Source organism: Homo sapiens, chromosome 19 (genome assembly GCF_000001405.40).
Source record: "Homo sapiens chromosome 19, GRCh38.p14 Primary Assembly".
NCBI classification, from domain to species: Eukaryota; Metazoa; Chordata; class Mammalia; order Primates; family Hominidae; genus Homo; species Homo sapiens.
In genome coordinates this window covers 46,772,684-46,790,872 of record NC_000019.10, presented here as the reverse complement: position 1 = coordinate 46,790,872, position 18,189 = coordinate 46,772,684, and the positions used below count along the sequence as shown (strand labels likewise).

At 53.2% G+C, this 18,189-nt stretch overlaps 1 protein-coding gene across 3 annotated transcripts, besides 12 other annotated features; it reads left to right on the top strand.

Annotated features, from left to right (window-relative positions):
- Positions 1,962-2,121: a silencer, noted in NCBI's record as "silent region_10832". NCBI's record gives its function as "represses an Ori minimal core promoter by ATAC-STARR-seq in GM12878 lymphoblastoid cells {active_cell/tissue: GM12878}" and the evidence as "EXISTENCE:reporter gene assay evidence [ECO:0000049][PMID:35858748]".
- Positions 1,962-2,611: a biological region, named in NCBI's record as "NANOG-H3K27ac-H3K4me1 hESC enhancer GRCh37_chr19:47291519-47292120".
- Positions 2,010-2,611: an enhancer, noted in NCBI's record as "NANOG-H3K27ac-H3K4me1 hESC enhancer chr19:47291519-47292120 (GRCh37/hg19 assembly coordinates)". NCBI's record gives its function as "activates a minimal SCP1, AML or CMV promoter by ChIP-STARR-seq in naive H9 embryonic stem cells {active_cell/tissue: H9 hESC(naive)}" and the evidence as "EXISTENCE:reporter gene assay evidence [ECO:0000049][PMID:30033119]".
- Positions 2,067-2,361: an enhancer, noted in NCBI's record as "tiled region #93; K562 Activating DNase unmatched - State 1:Tss, and HepG2 Activating DNase unmatched - State 1:Tss". NCBI's record gives its function as "activates a minimal TATA promoter and a strong SV40 promoter by Sharpr-MPRA in K562 cells, with weak activation in HepG2 cells {active_cell/tissue: HepG2 | K562}" and the evidence as "EXISTENCE:reporter gene assay evidence [ECO:0000049][PMID:27701403]".
- SLC1A5 (solute carrier family 1 member 5) lies at positions 2,279-15,990 on the top strand. Of its 3 annotated transcripts, none has more exons than NM_005628.3 (8): positions 2,279-3,473; positions 6,314-6,356; positions 6,729-6,776; positions 8,324-8,490; positions 11,965-12,198; positions 13,468-13,662; positions 13,764-13,898; positions 15,126-15,990. In NM_005628.3, the coding sequence occupies exons 1-8, from the start codon at positions 2,908-2,910 to the stop codon at positions 15,361-15,363; spliced, it is 1,626 nt and encodes a 541-aa protein (NP_005619.1). In that variant the 5' UTR covers positions 2,279-2,907; the 3' UTR covers positions 15,364-15,990. The 3 variants fall into 3 exon arrangements, with proteins under 3 accessions (NP_005619.1, NP_001138616.1, NP_001138617.1); NM_001145144.2 differs by lacking the exon at positions 2,279-3,473 and adding an exon at positions 3,580-3,634; NM_001145145.2 differs by lacking the exons at positions 2,279-3,473; positions 6,314-6,356 and adding an exon at positions 6,059-6,278.
- Positions 3,092-3,141: a silencer, noted in NCBI's record as "silent region_10831". NCBI's record gives its function as "represses an Ori minimal core promoter by ATAC-STARR-seq in GM12878 lymphoblastoid cells {active_cell/tissue: GM12878}" and the evidence as "EXISTENCE:reporter gene assay evidence [ECO:0000049][PMID:35858748]".
- Positions 3,152-3,201: a silencer, noted in NCBI's record as "silent region_10830". NCBI's record gives its function as "represses an Ori minimal core promoter by ATAC-STARR-seq in GM12878 lymphoblastoid cells {active_cell/tissue: GM12878}" and the evidence as "EXISTENCE:reporter gene assay evidence [ECO:0000049][PMID:35858748]".
- Positions 4,418-5,019: an enhancer, noted in NCBI's record as "H3K27ac hESC enhancer chr19:47289111-47289712 (GRCh37/hg19 assembly coordinates)". NCBI's record gives its function as "activates a minimal SCP1, AML or CMV promoter by ChIP-STARR-seq in naive H9 embryonic stem cells {active_cell/tissue: H9 hESC(naive)}" and the evidence as "EXISTENCE:reporter gene assay evidence [ECO:0000049][PMID:30033119]".
- Positions 5,020-5,621: an enhancer, noted in NCBI's record as "OCT4-NANOG-H3K27ac-H3K4me1 hESC enhancer chr19:47288509-47289110 (GRCh37/hg19 assembly coordinates)". NCBI's record gives its function as "activates a minimal SCP1, AML or CMV promoter by ChIP-STARR-seq in primed H9 embryonic stem cells {active_cell/tissue: H9 hESC(primed)}" and the evidence as "EXISTENCE:reporter gene assay evidence [ECO:0000049][PMID:30033119]".
- Positions 5,622-6,223: an enhancer, noted in NCBI's record as "OCT4-NANOG-H3K27ac-H3K4me1 hESC enhancer chr19:47287907-47288508 (GRCh37/hg19 assembly coordinates)". NCBI's record gives its function as "activates a minimal SCP1, AML or CMV promoter by ChIP-STARR-seq in naive and primed H9 embryonic stem cells {active_cell/tissue: H9 hESC(naive and primed)}" and the evidence as "EXISTENCE:reporter gene assay evidence [ECO:0000049][PMID:30033119]".
- Positions 5,622-6,905: a biological region, named in NCBI's record as "MED14-independent group 3 enhancer GRCh37_chr19:47287225-47288424".
- Positions 5,706-6,905: an enhancer, noted in NCBI's record as "MED14-independent group 3 enhancer chr19:47287225-47288424 (GRCh37/hg19 assembly coordinates)". NCBI's record gives its function as "activates an origin of replication core promoter dependent on BRD2, BRD4, P300/CBP and CDK7 cofactors, and independent of MED14, by STARR-seq in HCT116 cells {active_cell/tissue: HCT116}" and the evidence as "EXISTENCE:reporter gene assay evidence [ECO:0000049][PMID:35650434]".
- Positions 5,866-6,205: an enhancer, noted in NCBI's record as "active region_14848". NCBI's record gives its function as "activates an Ori minimal core promoter by ATAC-STARR-seq in GM12878 lymphoblastoid cells {active_cell/tissue: GM12878}" and the evidence as "EXISTENCE:reporter gene assay evidence [ECO:0000049][PMID:35858748]".

The window sequence follows — 18,189 nt, the reverse complement described above, 5'->3', positions numbered from 1 at the left end:
TCTCGCTCTGTCGCCCAGGCTGGAGTGCAGTGGCGTGATCTCGGCTCACTGCAAGCTCCGCCTCCCGGGTTCACACCATTCTCCTGCCTCAGCCTCCCGAGTAGCTGGGACTACAGGCGCCCGCCATCATGCCTGGCTGATTTTTTGTATTTTTAGTAGAGACGGGGTTTCACCGTGTTAGCCAGGATGGTCTCGATCTCCTGACCTTGTGATCCACCCGCCTCGGCCTCCCAAAGTGCTGGGATTACAGGCGTGAGCCACCATGCCCGGCCGAAAAATTTTTTAAAATATTTATTTATTTATTTTGAGACGGAGTCTCACTCTGTCACTAGGCTGGAGTGCAGAGGTGTGATCTTGGCTCACTGCAACCTCCACCTCCCGGGTTCAAGCGATTCTCCTGCCTCAGCCTCCTGAGTAGCTGGGACTACAAGTGCATGCCACCATGCCCAACTAATTTTTGTATTTTTAGTAGAGACAGAGTTTCACCATATTGGCCAGGATGGTCTCGATCTCCTGACCTCATGATCTGCCCACTCTGGCCTCCCAAAGTGCTGAGATTACAGACATGAGCCACCATGCCTGGCCTATTTTCATGTTTTTAAAGATAAGGTCTCACTATGTTGCCCCGGATGGAGTCTAGTGGCTAAATGTGGGCACGATCATAGCTCACTGCAGCCTTGAACTCCTGGCCTCAAGGGATCCTCCTGCTTTAGCCTCCCAAATACCTGGGACTACAGGTGCATGCCACTGAATCCAGCTTGTTCTTCAGTAATAATAACAATAACAGCAATCGCAGCAGTAGTATTTGACTTTCTTCTGAAGGGCATTTTTGTTAGAAACAAAAGAAGAGAGAAAGAACAAAAAATTTTAAAGCACAAATAAATAACTTTTTTTTTTTTGAGGTGGAGTCTCACTCTGTCACCCAGGCTGGAGTGCAGTGGTGAGATCTCGGCTCTTCGCAACCTCTGCCTCCTGGATTCAAGCAATTCTTCTGCCTCAGCCTCCTGAGTAGCTGGGATTACAGGCATGTGCCACCACACCCAGCTAATTTTTGCATTTTCAGCAGAGACAGGGTTTTGCCATGTTGGCCAGGCTCGTCTGGAACTCCTGACCTCAAGTGATCTGCCCGCATCAACTCCCAAAGTGGTGGGATAACAGGCGTGAGCCACTGCGCCCGGCCGTATTATCTCATTTGAACCCTTGCAACACTCAAGGCGGTATGACTTATTATTATTCCCATTTACACATATGAAGACTGAGCCTCATAGAGGTTGTAAATTACCTGAGGCCTCACAGCTGCTGTAGGAGGAAGCTTCTGACATTACCACTACAATCTTTGAGCAAGCATGAAAGCCTGAAATGTCACAGAACAGGCTAGAGATGGGAAAGGAATGAGGATTTCAACACTGTCAGGTGGAGTAAGGAATCATAATTCATTGTTAACCTCCCAAACGGCCACTAACAGAGAATTTGGGGAGGCAGCAGAGTGGGTGCGGTTAGGGGCTTGGGAGGTGGGCATGCACGTGTCATCCTCTCTAGGTGTGGCCTCAAGGTGAATGACTTCCTCTGCCTCTGGGGTTCAAGCGATTCTCCTGCCTCAGGCTTCCAGTAGCTGGGATTACAGGCACGTGCCACCACACCAGGTAATTTTTGTATTTTTAGTAGAGACGGGTTTCACCATGTTGGCCAGGCTGGTCTCGACCTCCTGACCTCAAGTGATCCGCCCGCTTCACCTCCCAAAGTGGTGGGATTACAGGCTTGAGCCACGGCTCCCTAAATAAATACATCAATTTTATTTAAATCTTACAGCAATCATATGAGACAAAAGCTTTTAACACCTGCACTTTATATTCGAGGAATTAAAGTTCTCAGAGGCGACTAAAGACCAAACTCAGGGCTGAGGAGTTCCAAAGCTGAGTTGAGTTGCAAATGAATCACCGAGGACCACCGGAGCTTTCTAGCGACCCTCGCACCAGGGAACGAACCCCTGTGGTTTAAGGGCTCCAACCCACAACCCAGTTCCTTTGGCGGGAAACAGCACCCTCCCAAGGCCCCGCCCCTTCCTGGCCCCGCCCCGTCGTCTCTGGGCCCGGCTCCTGGAGATGGGTATTATTAATCTGCCTTCTATGGGGGACCTGGCCCATCTCGGGTATCAGCCCCGCCCCTACTCGTCCAGTCTCCGAACGCTCTGCAGCCAATCGGCGCCCGAGGGTCGGTCCCCGCCTTCTCAAGCCCCGCCCCCTACCCTTATCCCTGGCAGCTTCCGCTAAACGGGCTCAGAGCCACGCGGCACGCCCGGGAGGCTTTCTCTGGCTGGTAACCGCTACTCCCGGACACCAGACCACCGCCTTCCGTACACAGGGGCCCGCATCCCACCCTCCCGGACCTAAGAGCCTGGGTCCCCTGTTTCCGGAGGTCCGCTTCCCGGCCCCCAGATTCTGGCATCCCAGCCCTCAGTGTCCAAGACCCAGGCAGCCCGGGTCCCCGCCTCCCGGATCCAGGCGTCCGGGATCTGCGCCACCAGAACCTAGCCTCCTGCAGACCTCCGCCATCTGGGGGCACTCAACCTCCTGGAGCCAAGGGCCCCACGTCCCACCCAGAGAAACTCTCGTATTCCCAGCTCCTAGGGCCAAGGAACCCGGGCGCTCCGAACTCCCAGCTTTCGGACATCTGGCACACGGGGCAGAGCAGAGAAGCCTCAGCGCCCAGCCTGGGGAATTTAAACACTCCAGCTTCCAAGAGCCAAGGAACTTCAGTGCTGTGAACTCACAACTCTAAGGAGCCCTCCAAAGTTCCAGTCTCCAGGTGCTGTTACTCAACTCAGTCCTAGGAACGTCGGGTCCTGGGAAGGAGCCCAAGCGCTCCCAGCCAGCTTCCAGGCGCTAAGAAACCCCGGTGCTTCCCATCATGGTGGCCGATCCTCCTCGAGACTCCAAGGGGCTCGCAGCGGCGGAGCCCACCGCCAACGGGGGCCTGGCGCTGGCCTCCATCGAGGACCAAGGCGCGGCAGCAGGCGGCTACTGCGGTTCCCGGGACCAGGTGCGCCGCTGCCTTCGAGCCAACCTGCTTGTGCTGCTGACAGTGGTGGCCGTGGTGGCCGGCGTGGCGCTGGGACTGGGGGTGTCGGGGGCCGGGGGTGCGCTGGCGTTGGGCCCGGAGCGCTTGAGCGCCTTCGTCTTCCCGGGCGAGCTGCTGCTGCGTCTGCTGCGGATGATCATCTTGCCGCTGGTGGTGTGCAGCTTGATCGGCGGCGCCGCCAGCCTGGACCCCGGCGCGCTCGGCCGTCTGGGCGCCTGGGCGCTGCTCTTTTTCCTGGTCACCACGCTGCTGGCGTCGGCGCTCGGAGTGGGCTTGGCGCTGGCTCTGCAGCCGGGCGCCGCCTCCGCCGCCATCAACGCCTCCGTGGGAGCCGCGGGCAGTGCCGAAAATGCCCCCAGCAAGGAGGTGCTCGATTCGTTCCTGGATCTTGCGAGGTCAGCTCCCGCTCCCCCGGGAGGTGGGGAAGAGTGTTACGGATGGCGGGAGTGGTCACGTGGACAGGACGGGGCTTTGGGGCCCCTGGAGCAGAGACTTCCCTCTAGAGTCTTAGGAAAACTCGACAGGATATTGAGGGGAGGCTCCAGCCCTCGGGAGTGTGAGTCTAGTCTCCTGGGGAAGGGGTTTCTAAATCTGGGGGCCTGGGTACATAAGTGGGGTCTTATAGAGGGAGAAGAAAGTGATTTGGGGAGACATAGGAGGGTCTGCCTAGGGGAGAAAGACACTGAGGGGAGGGGACCCCAGGAGGAACTTTTGCGGGGGGAATCTTTGCGTGGTCAAGGGCCCCAAGATGGGGCTTCTAGATATAATTTGGGGCCAGGGTTGGAGAGTTTGGGTAAGGAGCCCCTGGAGGATCTGAGATCTGAGTAACTCCCACCAGGCCCTCTTCCCAGCCCTGGGGCACCCCCACACCACGTGTCACTCGGACATAACCAGGCTCTGTTTTTGGCCTCCGCTTCCCGCCCATTTCAGCTGGGGTCTGGCCGCTTCCCCTTTATCTTTTAGATCAGCCCTGCCACCCCTGCCTTTCCCTCCCGTTTCCTCCTCTGTCTGGGCCACCCCCTAGCAGGCAGCCCAGAAGAGGACCAGTTAGAAAGGGGAGCAGATTCTTTTCCTTCTCCTGGCCTCTGCCCCGCGCCCCCAAGAATGGCCTCCCCCACTTTGAGGAGGGCGGGGGGCAGAGGCCCCCTTGCGCTTGCCTTTAGGGCTTGCTCATTCAGTGTCTCCACGTTGGGGACTTCCTGGAAGTTGGGGGAAGGAAATGATGAGTCACGGAACAGGGTTCTCCAGCCTCTGGGGCGTCAGTGCAGGCTGAGATGCGAGACTGGGGCAGGCTTGGTGTCCCGAGTTGAAGCCTGGGAGCACCTTCTGGCTGGGGGAGATTAGCTGGGTCCTGGCCCAGCCTGGGCCTGGGTGGTACAGGCGGACCTTCAGGCAGGCACACCCACTCCGAGGCTGTTTATGAGCACAGGCCTCCCCTGCGTGCCAAAACAGCTGTAGCTCACACTTGGCCTGCCACACAGGCTTATAACCAAATGACATACAGCTGGACACATTCACGCAGACACTCAGCTGAGGCTGTAGCATCTCGACAAACACATGGCCAGATACCAGCGGTCATACACACGCTCACTGTGTACTAAGACCCCTGTAGCACAGCCATTCAGTGATGCCACCAGCCACGCCAACATCTAAACACAGGCTCAAGAGCACACAATACACACTCACATACACACCTATGTGGTCACACACCAATAAACTCATGCTTTTTTTTTTTTTTTTTGAGACAGTCTCTGTTGCTCAGGCTGGAGTGCAGTGGTGCGATCTTGGCTCATTGCAACCTCTACCTCCTGGATTTAAGTGATTCTCGTGCCTCAGCCTTCCGTGTGCCACCACGCCTGGATAATTTTTGTGTTTTTAGTAGAGACGGGGTTTTGCCATGTTGGCCAGGCTGGTCTCGAACCCCTGACCTCAAGTTATCTGCCCACCTCAGCCTCCCAAAAGGCTGGAATTACTGGCGTGAGCCACCGCACCCGGCCAAACTCATTCCTCTACCATGACGTTATTTTACTGTACCGTGATGCATGGGTGGCCATCCATGGACACTGTCCCATACTACTGAACCTTAACCTGCACCCAAACTATTAACATTTGACAGATTGTATATGGGCACATGGCGTTGGCTGTACACCAGTCATTGGTGAGAGGGAGCATGTGGAGTGCTTGGGGCTATGGAGCCAGCTGGCTGGGTTCAAATCCCAGCTCTGCTATTTCCCAGCTGGGCAATTTTCTTTACCCTTCTGGGCCTCAGCTTCCTTTTCTGTAAAATGGGGTAATAGTGATTATCCCCAAGGCTGTCGTGAGGATGAAATGGGTTAATTTGTGTCAAGCACAGGCCAAAATGCCTGCCTGCCACACGGTAGGTGCTGTAGATGGCTTAGCTGCTATATATATTTTTTGAGAGAGTCTCACTCGGTCCCAGGCTGGAATGCAGTGGCTTGATCTTGGTTCACTGCAGCCTCAACCTCCTCGGGCTTGAGTGATCCTCCCACCTCAGCCTCCAGAGTAGCTGGAACTACAGGCACATGCCACCATGCCTGGCTAATTTTTGTATTTTTTGTAGAGACACGGTTTCGTCATGTTGCCCAGGTTGGTCTTCAACTCCTGGCTCAAGCGATCTGTCTGCCTTGGCCTCCCAAAGTGCTGGGATTCCAGGCAAGAGCCATGGCGCCTTGGCCTTAGCTACTATTTTCATCTTAAGGCAGACACTGTCACACAAGAGTAAGGGTAGCCTTGTAAACACAGATGCATATTCATGAGATATGAAGCCGTCCCTTTTCTCCCTCCCCGCCACCGCCTCCCAACACACCCAGATCCTCCCCCATACTCTCAGAGCCGCTGGCAGGCCCTCCAGGAGGAAGTGGCTGATGCAAGCTGTCCAGGGTATTAAGTTTGCTGCATGGGGTGGAGCTGAGGCCCGGGGCGACCTGCCCTGGCCTGCCGTGGGAGGCCAGCATTCCTCACCCCGAACCCACAATGCCTCAGGGCTAGCACGCCAGCCTCTTGGGGCTGAAGGAGGCTGACTCCCCAAGTCCTGCAAAGGGGTGCAAGCCTAGTTCCAACCCTGCCGGGCTGAGGCATGAGTAGGGGCTGTATTTGCGTGCAGGCGGGCCCCCAAAGCTTCCACTCGCTGCCTTAAAACGCCAACCCAGCCTCTCAGACAATGCTGCCCTCCCACTATGGTATCTAATAACCCTCTGTGTGTCTGTCTCTGCAGAAATATCTTCCCTTCCAACCTGGTGTCAGCAGCCTTTCGCTCAGTGAGTCCTCAGGGGTGTCCTGAGGGGATGGGGGTGGACAGGGAGGGATGCCAGCCAGGGGGAGCCCTTGCTACCTGATTTTGGTTAGTTCCTGGAAAAATGCATGTCAATGAGAATACGGGCTCAGAGCCTCCTGTGAGTTTTAATTCTAGCTGTGTGACTCTGGGTAAATGTGTTTACCTCTCTGAGCCTCGGTTTTCCACCTCTGGAAAATGGGGGTATTGATCATCCTGCCCCATGGGGTTGCCAGCAGATGAAATGAGATCACATTGAAAGGATGTGGAAGGGCAGGCTTTGAGCATTGTTAGCTTGGCATGGGGTTGGGAGGCCCTGGTAACGATGGACACTGACTCTTCCCAACCCCACCTACAGTACTCTACCACCTATGAAGAGAGGAATATCACCGGAACCAGGGTGAAGGTGAGAGCAGTGGGAGGCAGCGGGGGCTCTACCTCTTTGCCTATTGCTATAATTTTTTGGTTTTATTTCTGCCTTAGTCTTTGCTGTGGAATTTGATTGACACTCTGCAGTCCTTCCCCAATTTCTGTCTTTTCTGCCTTCTGGATAGGTCTCTACTTTGTCCCCTCTTTTCCCACCCCAGGTGCCCAGGCTCTTCCTTTCTCCCTCACCCCCCAACCCCATTCCATGCTGCCCTCTCCCTGCCCCCTTCCATCCACCCTCAACCTGCTCAAACTGGCAGCCAGCCAGAGGTTTTTGTTGTTGTTTTTCTGACACAGGATCTCTCTCCATCATTCAGGCTGGAGTACGGTGGCACGATCACAGCTCACTGCAGTCTCCACCTCCTGGGCTCAAGTGATCCTTCTCACCTCAGCCTTCCCAGTAGCTGTGACTATAACACACCTGGCTAATTTCTGTATCTTTTATAGAGACTGAGTTTTGCCATGTTGCCCAGGCTGGTCTTGCACTCTCGGGCTCAAGTGATCTGCCCACCTTGGCCGCCTCGCAAAGTGCTGGGATTACAGGCGTGAGGCACTGCTCCTGGCCCTGAGTATCTTTTCTTTTCTTTCTTTCTTTTTTTTTTTTTTTTTTGAGACAGAATTTTGTACTTGTTGTCCAGGCTGGAATGCAATGGCGTGATCTCGGTTCACTGCAACCTCCGCCTCCCGGGTTCAAGTGATTATTCTCTTGCCTCAGCCTCCTGAGTAGCTGGGATTACAGGCATGTGCCACCATGCCCGGCTAATTTTGTATTTTTAGTAGAGATGGGGTTTCTCCATGTTGGTCAGTGTGGTCTGGAACTCCCCACCTCAGGTGATCTGCCCACCTTAGCCTCCCAAAGTGCTGTGATTACAGGCGTGAGCCACCGTGCTCCGCCCGAGGATCTTTTCAAAACACAAATGTGACCCTATCTCTGCAGTACCCAGAGCCCTGCCATGTGCCTCAGTGCCTTCAGGAGAAAGTCCAGTCTCCTTGCTACAGTCTATGACCAAGGGCTCCCTGTGAGGTCAAACCCCTGCCAGCCCGCCTGGCTGCCCATCCTTAACTAGTGACCCTGCCCAGATTATTCTACTCTAGCCACAGTAGATTATGGCTCTTCTTTGAATGCCCAAGTTGCACTCATTTCTAGGCTGTTGCACATTCTGCTTCCTCTCTGTAGATCTTTCTACCACCCTTCTTTACCTGGTTCACTCCTCTTGTCCTCCAGGTCTCAGCTCAGATGCTCCTTCCTCCAGGAAGTCCCCCCTGACTGCCCCCTACTCCCCAAGCTGGCACTGCCCTCTCTTGGTTCCCACACTCCCCTGGACTCCCTTATTCCAGCCCCACCTACTCTGGGCCATCCCTGACGACTAATATATTTCCCCTGGACCTGGACTGGGAGCCTTGGGAGGAAGGGGTCTGAGGGCTGCCTTGTCTCTGCTGGGTCCCAGTGGTGCCAAGGACAGGCCCTCAGTGACTGTGCAGGTAGACTGAGTGTCCTTTCCACCCCGATCTGTTCCTTGCCCACAGGTGCCCGTGGGGCAGGAGGTGGAGGGGATGAACATCCTGGGCTTGGTAGTGTTTGCCATCGTCTTTGGTGTGGCGCTGCGGAAGCTGGGGCCTGAAGGGGAGCTGCTTATCCGCTTCTTCAACTCCTTCAATGAGGCCACCATGGTTCTGGTCTCCTGGATCATGTGGTAGGTGGTGGGAGAGGAGGCTGGGGGTGGGTGGGGTTGGAGGGTCGGTCTGCTGCCAGAGGCAGGTGCGGGGCATTCTGTTTGGGATGGGGCACCCTCTATTCACTCTTTGGAGCCAGATGACCTGCATTTAAATCCAGCATTGACCATTCCCTGTCTATGTGATTTTAGGCAAGTGATTTTCCTTCTCTGCTTCAGTTTCCTCATCTATAAAATGGGAACGGCACTTTGGGAGGAGGTGGGTGGATCACTTGAGATCAGGAGTTCAAAACCAGCCTGGCCAACATGGTGAAACCCCATCTCTACTAAAAATACGAAAAAATTAGCCAGGCATGGGGACACGCACCTGTAATCCCAGTTACTCGGGAACCTGAGGTATGAGAATCACTTAAGCCTGGGAGGCGGAAGTTGCAGTAAGCGGAGATCATGCCACTGCCTGGGCGACAGAGGGAAACTCTGTCTCAAGAAGAAAAGAAAAGAAAGTGAATACGGTACACGGAAGGTCTTAGGACAGTGCCTGGCTTATTGCGTGCCTACAGTAAATCCTAGTAGCTAATATTTATTGGGCTTTTTGCTTGTATAACTTCTGGATACTTCCCACTGGCCAGAACTTGGGTATCTAGCCTCCCTTCTCTGCACAAGTGGCTGGGAAAATATGCCTTTCTTCTGTGACTTACAAGAAGGGACTGGGGAGATAACTAGTCAGTGATGATGGATGGGCGACCGATGATCGAGTAGTCTAGGGAAGTGATGTTGGGAGGCTTTTATTTTATTTTATTTTTTTGAGATGGAGTTTCGTTCTTGTTGCCCAGGCTGGAGTGCAATGACGTGATCTCAGCTCACTGCAAACTCCGCCTCCCGGGTTCAAGAGATTCTCCTGCTTCAGTCTCCCGAGTAGCTGGGATTACAGGCATGCGCCACCATGCCCGGCTAATTTTGTATTTTTAGTAGAGACGGGGTTTCTCCATGTTGGTCAGGCTGGTCTCAAACTCCCGACCTCAGGTGATCCGCCCACCTCGGCCTCCCGAAGTGCTGGGATTACAGGCGTGAGCCACCGCGCCCGGACTTGGGAGTCCTCTTGGCTTGGAGCCATCCCTGGGATCTTCACAGCAGGAGAGGGTGATAATAAACCCACCTGAAGTTTACAGATCACTTATTGTCTGTAAAAAGCTTTAGCTCCTTTCAACTGGCATCTCATTGCATCCTCCCAGCATTCCCGTGAGGAATCTATTGGGTGTTGTGTAATCTGCAATCTGACTCATAGGACCTCCCTCCGGGGGTTGCTGGGAAGATTCAACATCATGTTCAAGGGCAGAGCACATCGCAAATGCTTCATACCTGGGAGTTGTTATTAAGACCCAGGCCATGGTCTTTCTAAAATTTGTATTTATTTTATTTATTTATTTATTTAGAGACAGAGTCTTGCTCTGTCGCCCAGGCTGGAGGTGCAGTGGCACAGTCTCAGCTCACTGCAATGTCTGCCTCCCATGTTCAAGTGATTCTCCTGCCTCAGCCTCCTGAGCAGCTGGGACCAAAGGCACGAACCACCATACCCAGCTAATTTTTGTATTTTTAGTAGAGACAGGGTTTTGCCATGTTGGCCAGGCTGGTCTCAAACTCCTGACCTCAAGCGATCCGCCCTCTTCGGCCTCCCAAAGTGCTGGGATTACAGGTGTGAGCCACCGCTCCTGGCCTTCAAATTTTTATTTTAAAAATGTGTGTTTTGGCTGGTTGTGGTACCTCACACCTGTAATCCCAGCACTTTGGGAGGCTGAGGGGGGAGGATTGCTTGAGGCCAGGAGTTAGAGACTAGCCTGGTCAACATGGCGAAAAACCCTCTCTACAAAAAAATACAAATATTAGCTGGGAATGGTGGTGTACACCTTTAATCCTAGCTACTACTCAGGAGGCTGAGGCATGAAAATCGCTTGAACCTGGGAGGCAAAGGTTGTAGTGAGCCAAGATTGCAACAGTACACTCCAGCCTGGGCAACAGAACGAGACTGTCTAAATAATAATAATAATAGTAATTTAAAAAAACGTTTTTTGAACTAGGATCTCGCTCTGTTGCCTAGGTTGGAGTGCAGTGTGGCATGATCACAGCTCACTGCAGCCCGGACCTCCTGGGTTCAGGTGATCCTCCCACCTCAACCTCCTAAGTGGCTGGGACTACAGACCCCAGCCACAAAGCCTAGCTCATTTTTTTTGTTGTTGTTGTTTAAGAAACTGGGTGGCCCAGTACGGAGGCTCATGCCTATAATCCCAGCACTTTGGGAGGCTGAGGCAGGCAGATCACGAGGTCAGGAGATCGAGACCATCCTGGCTAACACAGAAAAACCCTGTCTCTACTAAAAATACAAAAAATTAGCTGGGCGTGGTAGCACGCGCCTATAGTCCCAGCTACTTGGGAGGCTGAGGCAGGAGAATCGCTTGAACCTGGGAGGCGGAGGGTGCAGTGAGCCGAGATCATGCCACTGCACTCCAGCCTGGGCAACAGAGTGAGACTCCATCTCAAAAAAAAAAAAAGAGAGACATGTTGCCCAGGCTGGTCTTGAACTCCTGGGCTCAAGCGATCTGTCTGCCTTCACCTCCCTGCATGCTGGGATTACAGGTATGAGCCACCGTGCCTGGCCTATTTTTATTTTTTGTAGAGACTGGGTCTCGCTGTGTTGCCCAAGCTGGTCTCGAGAACTCCTGGCCTCAAGTAATCCTCCTGCTTTCACCTCCTAAAGTGCTGGGATTATAGGCATGAGCCACTGTGCCCAGCCTCTTTATCTTTCATCATCTGCAGAGAGCGTATTGGCTCAAGTCATGCTAGCTGCCATAGCAAACCAACCCAGGAAGTGTGAATGGCGCACCTTGATGGACATTTCTTTCTGTCTCCCATGTGAAGTCCAAATCTGGTGACTGCTTCACATGGTGATGGAAGCACTGAGACTTTTTTTTTTTTTTTTTTTTTGAGATGGAGTTTCACTCTTGTTGCCCAGGCTGGAGTGCAATGGCATGATCTTGGCTCACAGCAACCTCTGCCTCCCTGATTCAAGCAATTCTCCTGCCTGAGCCTCCCAAGTAGCTGGGATTGCAGGCATGCGCCACCACGCCTGGTTAATTTTGTATTTTTAGTAGAGACGGGGTTTCTCCATGTTGGTCAGGCTGGTCTTGAACTCCCGACCTCAGGTGATCCACCCACCTCAGCCTCCCAAAGTGCTGGGATTACAGGCATGAGCCACCGTGCCCGGCCTGCACGGAGAGTTTTATCTCCGGGCTGCTCTACCTTTGAGGGGAAAGAGAGCATGAGATTGGCATGGGGGCTTCAGGGGCCAGGCCTGGGAGTGGTGCCCATGCTGAAGCACACATTGCTGGGGCTTCTCCTGACCTCAGGAAGGCAGGAAGATGTGGGTAGGGTGCTGAGCCTCACGCCTGGCCACTGGGCCCGTGGAAGAGGCAACAAGCTGTCTCCTGTGTTACTGATCAGGTACGCCCCTGTGGGCATCATGTTCCTGGTGGCTGGCAAGATCGTGGAGATGGAGGATGTGGGTTTACTCTTTGCCCGCCTTGGCAAGTACATTCTGTGCTGCCTGCTGGGTCACGCCATCCATGGGCTCCTGGTACTGCCCCTCATCTACTTCCTCTTCACCCGCAAAAACCCCTACCGCTTCCTGTGGGGCATCGTGACGCCGCTGGCCACTGCCTTTGGGACCTCTTCCAGGTACGGCCTTGGGGTGGGCTAGGGTGGGATGTTTAATCCGCTAAGCGGCATGGAGCGGATGAAATTTTCTCTGCCCGGGACATTGTATCTGGGTACAGGGGCCATACTTCAGGAGATTCTCATAAGGTCCTGGATTTATCCCCACCCTTAAAAAGATAGGAAATGATTGCCCTAGAGATTTATTTCCCTCTTTCTTACACTGCCTCCCCGTGGCCCTGGAGGCACTCTTTTTTTTCTTTTGTTTTAAACAATGGCGTCTCGCTCTGTTGCCCAGGCTGGAGTGTAGTGGTGTGATCTCAGCTCACTGCAACCTCTGCCTCCTGGGTTCAAGTGATTCTCTGCCTCAGCCTCCCGAGTAGCTGGGACTGCAAGTGTCCCCCACCATACCCAGCTAATTTTTGTGTTTTTAGTAGAGACGGGGTTTCGCCATGTTGGCCAGGCTGGTCTCAAACTCCTGGCCTCAAGTGATCCGCCCACCTTGGCCTCCAAAAGTGCTGGGATTATAGGTGTGAGCTGCCATGCCCCTGGGGGGCTCTTAAGTTCTGCTCTGATTCAACCTCAGAACTCCTTCCACCGTCTCTCCTGGGCATTTCATTCATCCCTGCTGGCCCTGTCCCCTCCCAAGACAATAGTAATTCTTAGTGTATTATTGGTGAGAGTCAGCAGGACCCAGACAGTAGAATTTAGGTGTGAATTGTGTGGGTATTTTGGGAGGTAGTAGTCTATACTCTCCCAGGGGTTCCAGGACTCATGGATTTTGTAATCCTGGTATTGAGTTCCCTAGTGCTGCCTGCTTGTGGGAAAAGAGCTTAGATATAGCAAGTGAGGGCTGGGGGTGGAGTCAGGACATGGTAGGAGGGAAGGGGGGTCTAGGTTAGATGTGGGGGCCTTGGGCCAAGGGACAGACTGGGGACGTGGGTGGGACTTCGGCTGGGCAGGTGGTATGGGCAGGATCTGGTGGGCGGGGCTTTGGCTGGGCAAGTGGTATGGGCGGGATCTGGGTGGGCGGGGCTTTGGCTGGGCAGGTGGTGTGGGTGGGCTCTGGGTGGGCGGGGCTTCAACTGGGTGGGTGGTGCAGGTCAGACCTGGAGGGTGGTTGGGTGACAGGGCTTTGCTTAGGCAGGCTCTGGTGGGGATCCACTGGGTGGGGTGGGTGGGGCTTTGGCTGGTTGGGGTGGGGTAGGCGAGGCCTCACCTGGGCTGGACCTGGAGGGTGGGCGGAGCCCCGGTCAGCAGGTTAACCTAACTCAGCTCCCCCATCCCTTGCAGTTCCGCCACGCTGCCGCTGATGATGAAGTGCGTGGAGGAGAATAATGGCGTGGCCAAGCACATCAGCCGTTTCATCCTGCCCATCGGCGCCACCGTCAACATGGACGGTGCCGCGCTCTTCCAGTGCGTGGCCGCAGTGTTCATTGCACAGCTCAGCCAGCAGTCCTTGGACTTCGTAAAGATCATCACCATCCTGTGAGTGTCAGGGGGCTGCGGATGGGACCCCCGGACCCCTGTTGACCCCCATCTTCTCCCACAAGACAGGCATCTGCCTAACCTCCCACCTTCTCCCTCAGGGTCACGGCCACAGCGTCCAGCGTGGGGGCAGCGGGCATCCCTGCTGGAGGTGTCCTCACTCTGGCCATCATCCTCGAAGCAGTCAACCTCCCGGTCGACCATATCTCCTTGATCCTGGCTGTGGACTGGCTAGTGTGAGTGTGGGTCTGGAGACTGGGGCAGGGCCAGGGGTACCCCTGGGAAAGAGGATGAGTGAGTGAGAGTCCTTAGAGCCTCTGGACAGAAGAGGAAGAGAAGAAGGAAGGAATTCTGGAGGAAATGGGGGGAACCTTGAGCATTCCTGAGGGCAAGGAATGGCATCTTTGTGGCTCTAAGAGGGATGTCAGAAAAGTAGAGCGTCTGTGTGGTGAATACAGCAGACTCTTCAGCCAGACTGCTCAGGTTCACATCCCAGCTCCAACATTCACTGTTGTGACCTCGGGAAGTGCTTAATCTTCCTGCGTCTCAGTTTCTCCATCTGTAAAACGGGGAGAAGAACAGTCTCTCCCTAAGGATTAGATAACAGACACACCTCCCTTAGAGCAGCCCCCAGTAAGCAGTAATTGCTACATAATTATTTGCTATCACGATTAAGCTATTAAGAGTATAAAGATTGGAAAGCAGCCAGGCACGGTGGCTCACACCTGTAATCCCAACATTTTGGGAGGCCCAGGCAGGTGGATTATTTGAGGTTAGGAGTTTGAGACAAGCCTGACCAACATGGTGAAACCCCATCTCCACTAAAAATACAAAAAAATTAGCCGGGTATGGTGGTGTACGCCTGTCCTGTGATCTCAGCTACTCAGGAGGCTGAGGCAGGAGAATCGCTTGAACTTGGGAGGTGGAGGTTGCAGTGAGCCGAGATTGTGCCACTGCACTCCAGCCTGGGCAACAGAGTGAGATCCTGTCTCAAAAAAAAAAAAAAAAAAAAATTCTGGAATTAATTATTGGCAATGGTTGCACAAGTCTGAATATACTAAAAAATACCAAGATGGACACTTTTAAAAGGTTAATTTTATGGTAGGTGAATTATAATTTTTTTTCGAGACACAGTCTGGCTCTGTCACCCAGGCTGGAGTGTAGTGATGTGATCATGGTTGTGATCACTGCAGCCTCCACCTCCCAGGCTCCAGCGATCCTCCTGCCCCAGCCTCCTGAGTAGCTGGGACTATAGGTGTGCACTACCATGCCTGGCTAATTTTTTTTTTTTTTAAATATATATAAAGATGGGATCTCACTATGTTGCCCAGGCTGACTCCAACTCTTAATTTTTACTTTTTAGATTCCAGGGGGAGAGAGGCAGGAGGCTTAGGCCTTGGCCCTTTCCTTCCCTCTCACCCTCTCCCCTCCCGCTTACTTTGCTGTCATTTCTACCCCTTTAGCGACCGGTCCTGTACCGTCCTCAATGTAGAAGGTGACGCTCTGGGGGCAGGACTCCTCCAAAATTACGTGGACCGTACGGAGTCGAGAAGCACAGAGCCTGAGTTGATACAAGTGAAGAGTGAGCTGCCCCTGGATCCGCTGCCAGTCCCCACTGAGGAAGGAAACCCCCTCCTCAAACACTATCGGGGGCCCGCAGGGGATGCCACGGTCGCCTCTGAGAAGGAATCAGTCATGTAAACCCCGGGAGGGACCTTCCCTGCCCTGCTGGGGGTGCTCTTTGGACACTGGATTATGAGGAATGGATAAATGGATGAGCTAGGGCTCTGGGGGTCTGCCTGCACACTCTGGGGAGCCAGGGGCCCCAGCACCCTCCAGGACAGGAGATCTGGGATGCCTGGCTGCTGGAGTACATGTGTTCACAAGGGTTACTCCTCAAAACCCCCAGTTCTCACTCATGTCCCCAACTCAAGGCTAGAAAACAGCAAGATGGAGAAATAATGTTCTGCTGCGTCCCCACCGTGACCTGCCTGGCCTCCCCTGTCTCAGGGAGCAGGTCACAGGTCACCATGGGGAATTCTAGCCCCCACTGGGGGGATGTTACAACACCATGCTGGTTATTTTGGCGGCTGTAGTTGTGGGGGGATGTGTGTGTGCACGTGTGTGTGTGTGTGTGTGTGTGTGTGTGTGTGTGTGTTCTGTGACCTCCTGTCCCCATGGTACGTCCCACCCTGTCCCCAGATCCCCTATTCCCTCCACAATAACAGAAACACTCCCAGGGACTCTGGGGAGAGGCTGAGGACAAATACCTGCTGTCACTCCAGAGGACATTTTTTTTAGCAATAAAATTGAGTGTCAACTATTTAATCAGGTGTTCTTGAGAATTTGACTTAAAGCACTGGCCACTGCAATGACAGTATCTGCTCATCAAGAAACACCACTGGGCTGGGCATGGGGGCTCACACCTGTAATCCCAGCACTTTGAGATCACTCCAGGCCAGGAGTTCAAGACAAGCCTGGGCAACATAGTGAGACATCGTCTCTACAAAAAAATACAAAAATTAAGGCCGAGCACGGTGGCTCACACCTGTAATCCCAGCACTTTGGGAGGCCGAGGCGGGCGAATCACGAGGTCAGGAGTTCAAGATCAGCCTGGCCAACATGGTGAAACCCTGTCTCTACTAAAAATATAAAAATTAGCCAGACATGGTGGTGGGCGCCTGTAGTCCCAGCTACTCAGGAGGCTGAGGTAGGAGAATTGCTTGAACCCGGGAGGCAGAGGTTGCAGTGAGCCGAGATCGCACCACTGCACTCTAGCCCGGGTGAAAGAGCAAAACTCTGTCTCAAAAACAACACAAAAAATTAGGCAGGTGCAGTGGTGCACACCTGCAGTCCCAGCTACTCAGAAGTCTGCGGTGGGGAGGATTCCTTGAGCCCAGGAGTTTAAGGATGCAGTGACCCATGATCATGCCACTGCACTCCAGCCTGGGCAACAGAGTGAGACCCTGTCGCTTTTTTTTTTTTTTTTTTTTGAAACGGAGTCTGGCTCTGTTGTCTGGGCTGGAGTGCAGTGCAGTGGCACGATCTTGGCTCACTGCAACCTCCGCCTCCCAGGTTCAAGCGATTCTCCTGCCTCAGCCTCCGAAGTAGCTGGGACTACAGGTATCTGCCACCATGCCCAGCTAATTTTTGTATTTTTAGTAGAGACCGGTGCCTCAAGTGATCCACCCACCTTGGCCTCCCAAAGTGCTGGTATTACAGGCGTGAGCCACCACGCCCAGCCAGACCCTGTCTCTTAAACACCACGGGAAACCACAATGAGACACCACTATACACAGTAGAATGGCTGAATACAAGACCAAGGGAGGATGGGATACAACAGGACTCCTCATCTCTTGGTTGGTGCTCCCTTAGTAGATGGCTGAGTTGTTTTGGAAAATAACTGGGCAGTTTCTTAATAAAGTTAAAAAATACAGGCTGGGTGCAGTGGCTCACGCCTGTAATCCCAACACTTTGGGAGGCCGAGGTGGATGGATCACCTGAGGTCAGGAGTTCGAGACCAGCCTGGCCAACATGGTGAAACCCCGTCTCCACTAAAAATACAAAAATTAGCCGGGCGTGGTGGCACATGCCTGTAGTCCCAGCTACTTGGGAGGCTGAGGCAGGAGAATCGCTTGAACCCAGGAGGCAGAATGTTGCAGTGAGCCAAGATCTCACCATTGCACTCCAGTCTGGGTGACAAAAGCAAAACTCTGTCTCAAAAAAAAAAAAAAATATATATATATATAATATATATTTATTTACTATGCAGCTTAGGAGTTGCACTCCTGGGTATTTACCCAAGAGAAGTGAAAACTTTTGCTTTTACAAAAATGTGTCCACAAACGTTTAGCTGCTGTACTCATCATTGCCAAAATTTGGGAACAAATCAATTGGATACACTGGTACATTCATACAATGGAAGATTACTCAGCAATAAATAAGAGCGATATCGACCTACACTGCAACAGAAATGCATTTCAGATAATTTGTTGAGATAAAGAAGCCAGAGACGGTAAATACTGTATAGTTCCATTTAGAGGAGGGCTAGAACATGCTCAACTGGCCTATGGTGGGAAATCAGAACAGTGGTGACCTTTGAGAATGAATATGGGGCCAGGCACGGTGGCTTCATGCCTGTAATCCTAGCACTTTGGGAGGCCGAGGTGGGCGGATCATGAGGTCAGGAGATCGAGACCATCCTGGCTAATATGGTGAAACCCCATCTCTACTAAAAATACAAAAAATTAGCAGGGCATGGTGGCGGGCGCCTGTAATCCTAGCTACTCTGGAGGCTGAGGCAGGAGAATGTGGTGAACCCAGGGGGCGGAGCTTGCAGTGAGCCGAGATTGTGCCACTGCACTCCAGCCTGGGTGACAGAGCAAGACTCCATCTCAAAAGAAAAAAAAAATAGCATATTGATCAGAAGGGAGCACAAAAGAACCTTCTATGATAAAGCAAATATCTTACCTTGATTTGGGTGATGATTCCACAGATGGATGCATTTGGGAAAGTTAACGAACCTGT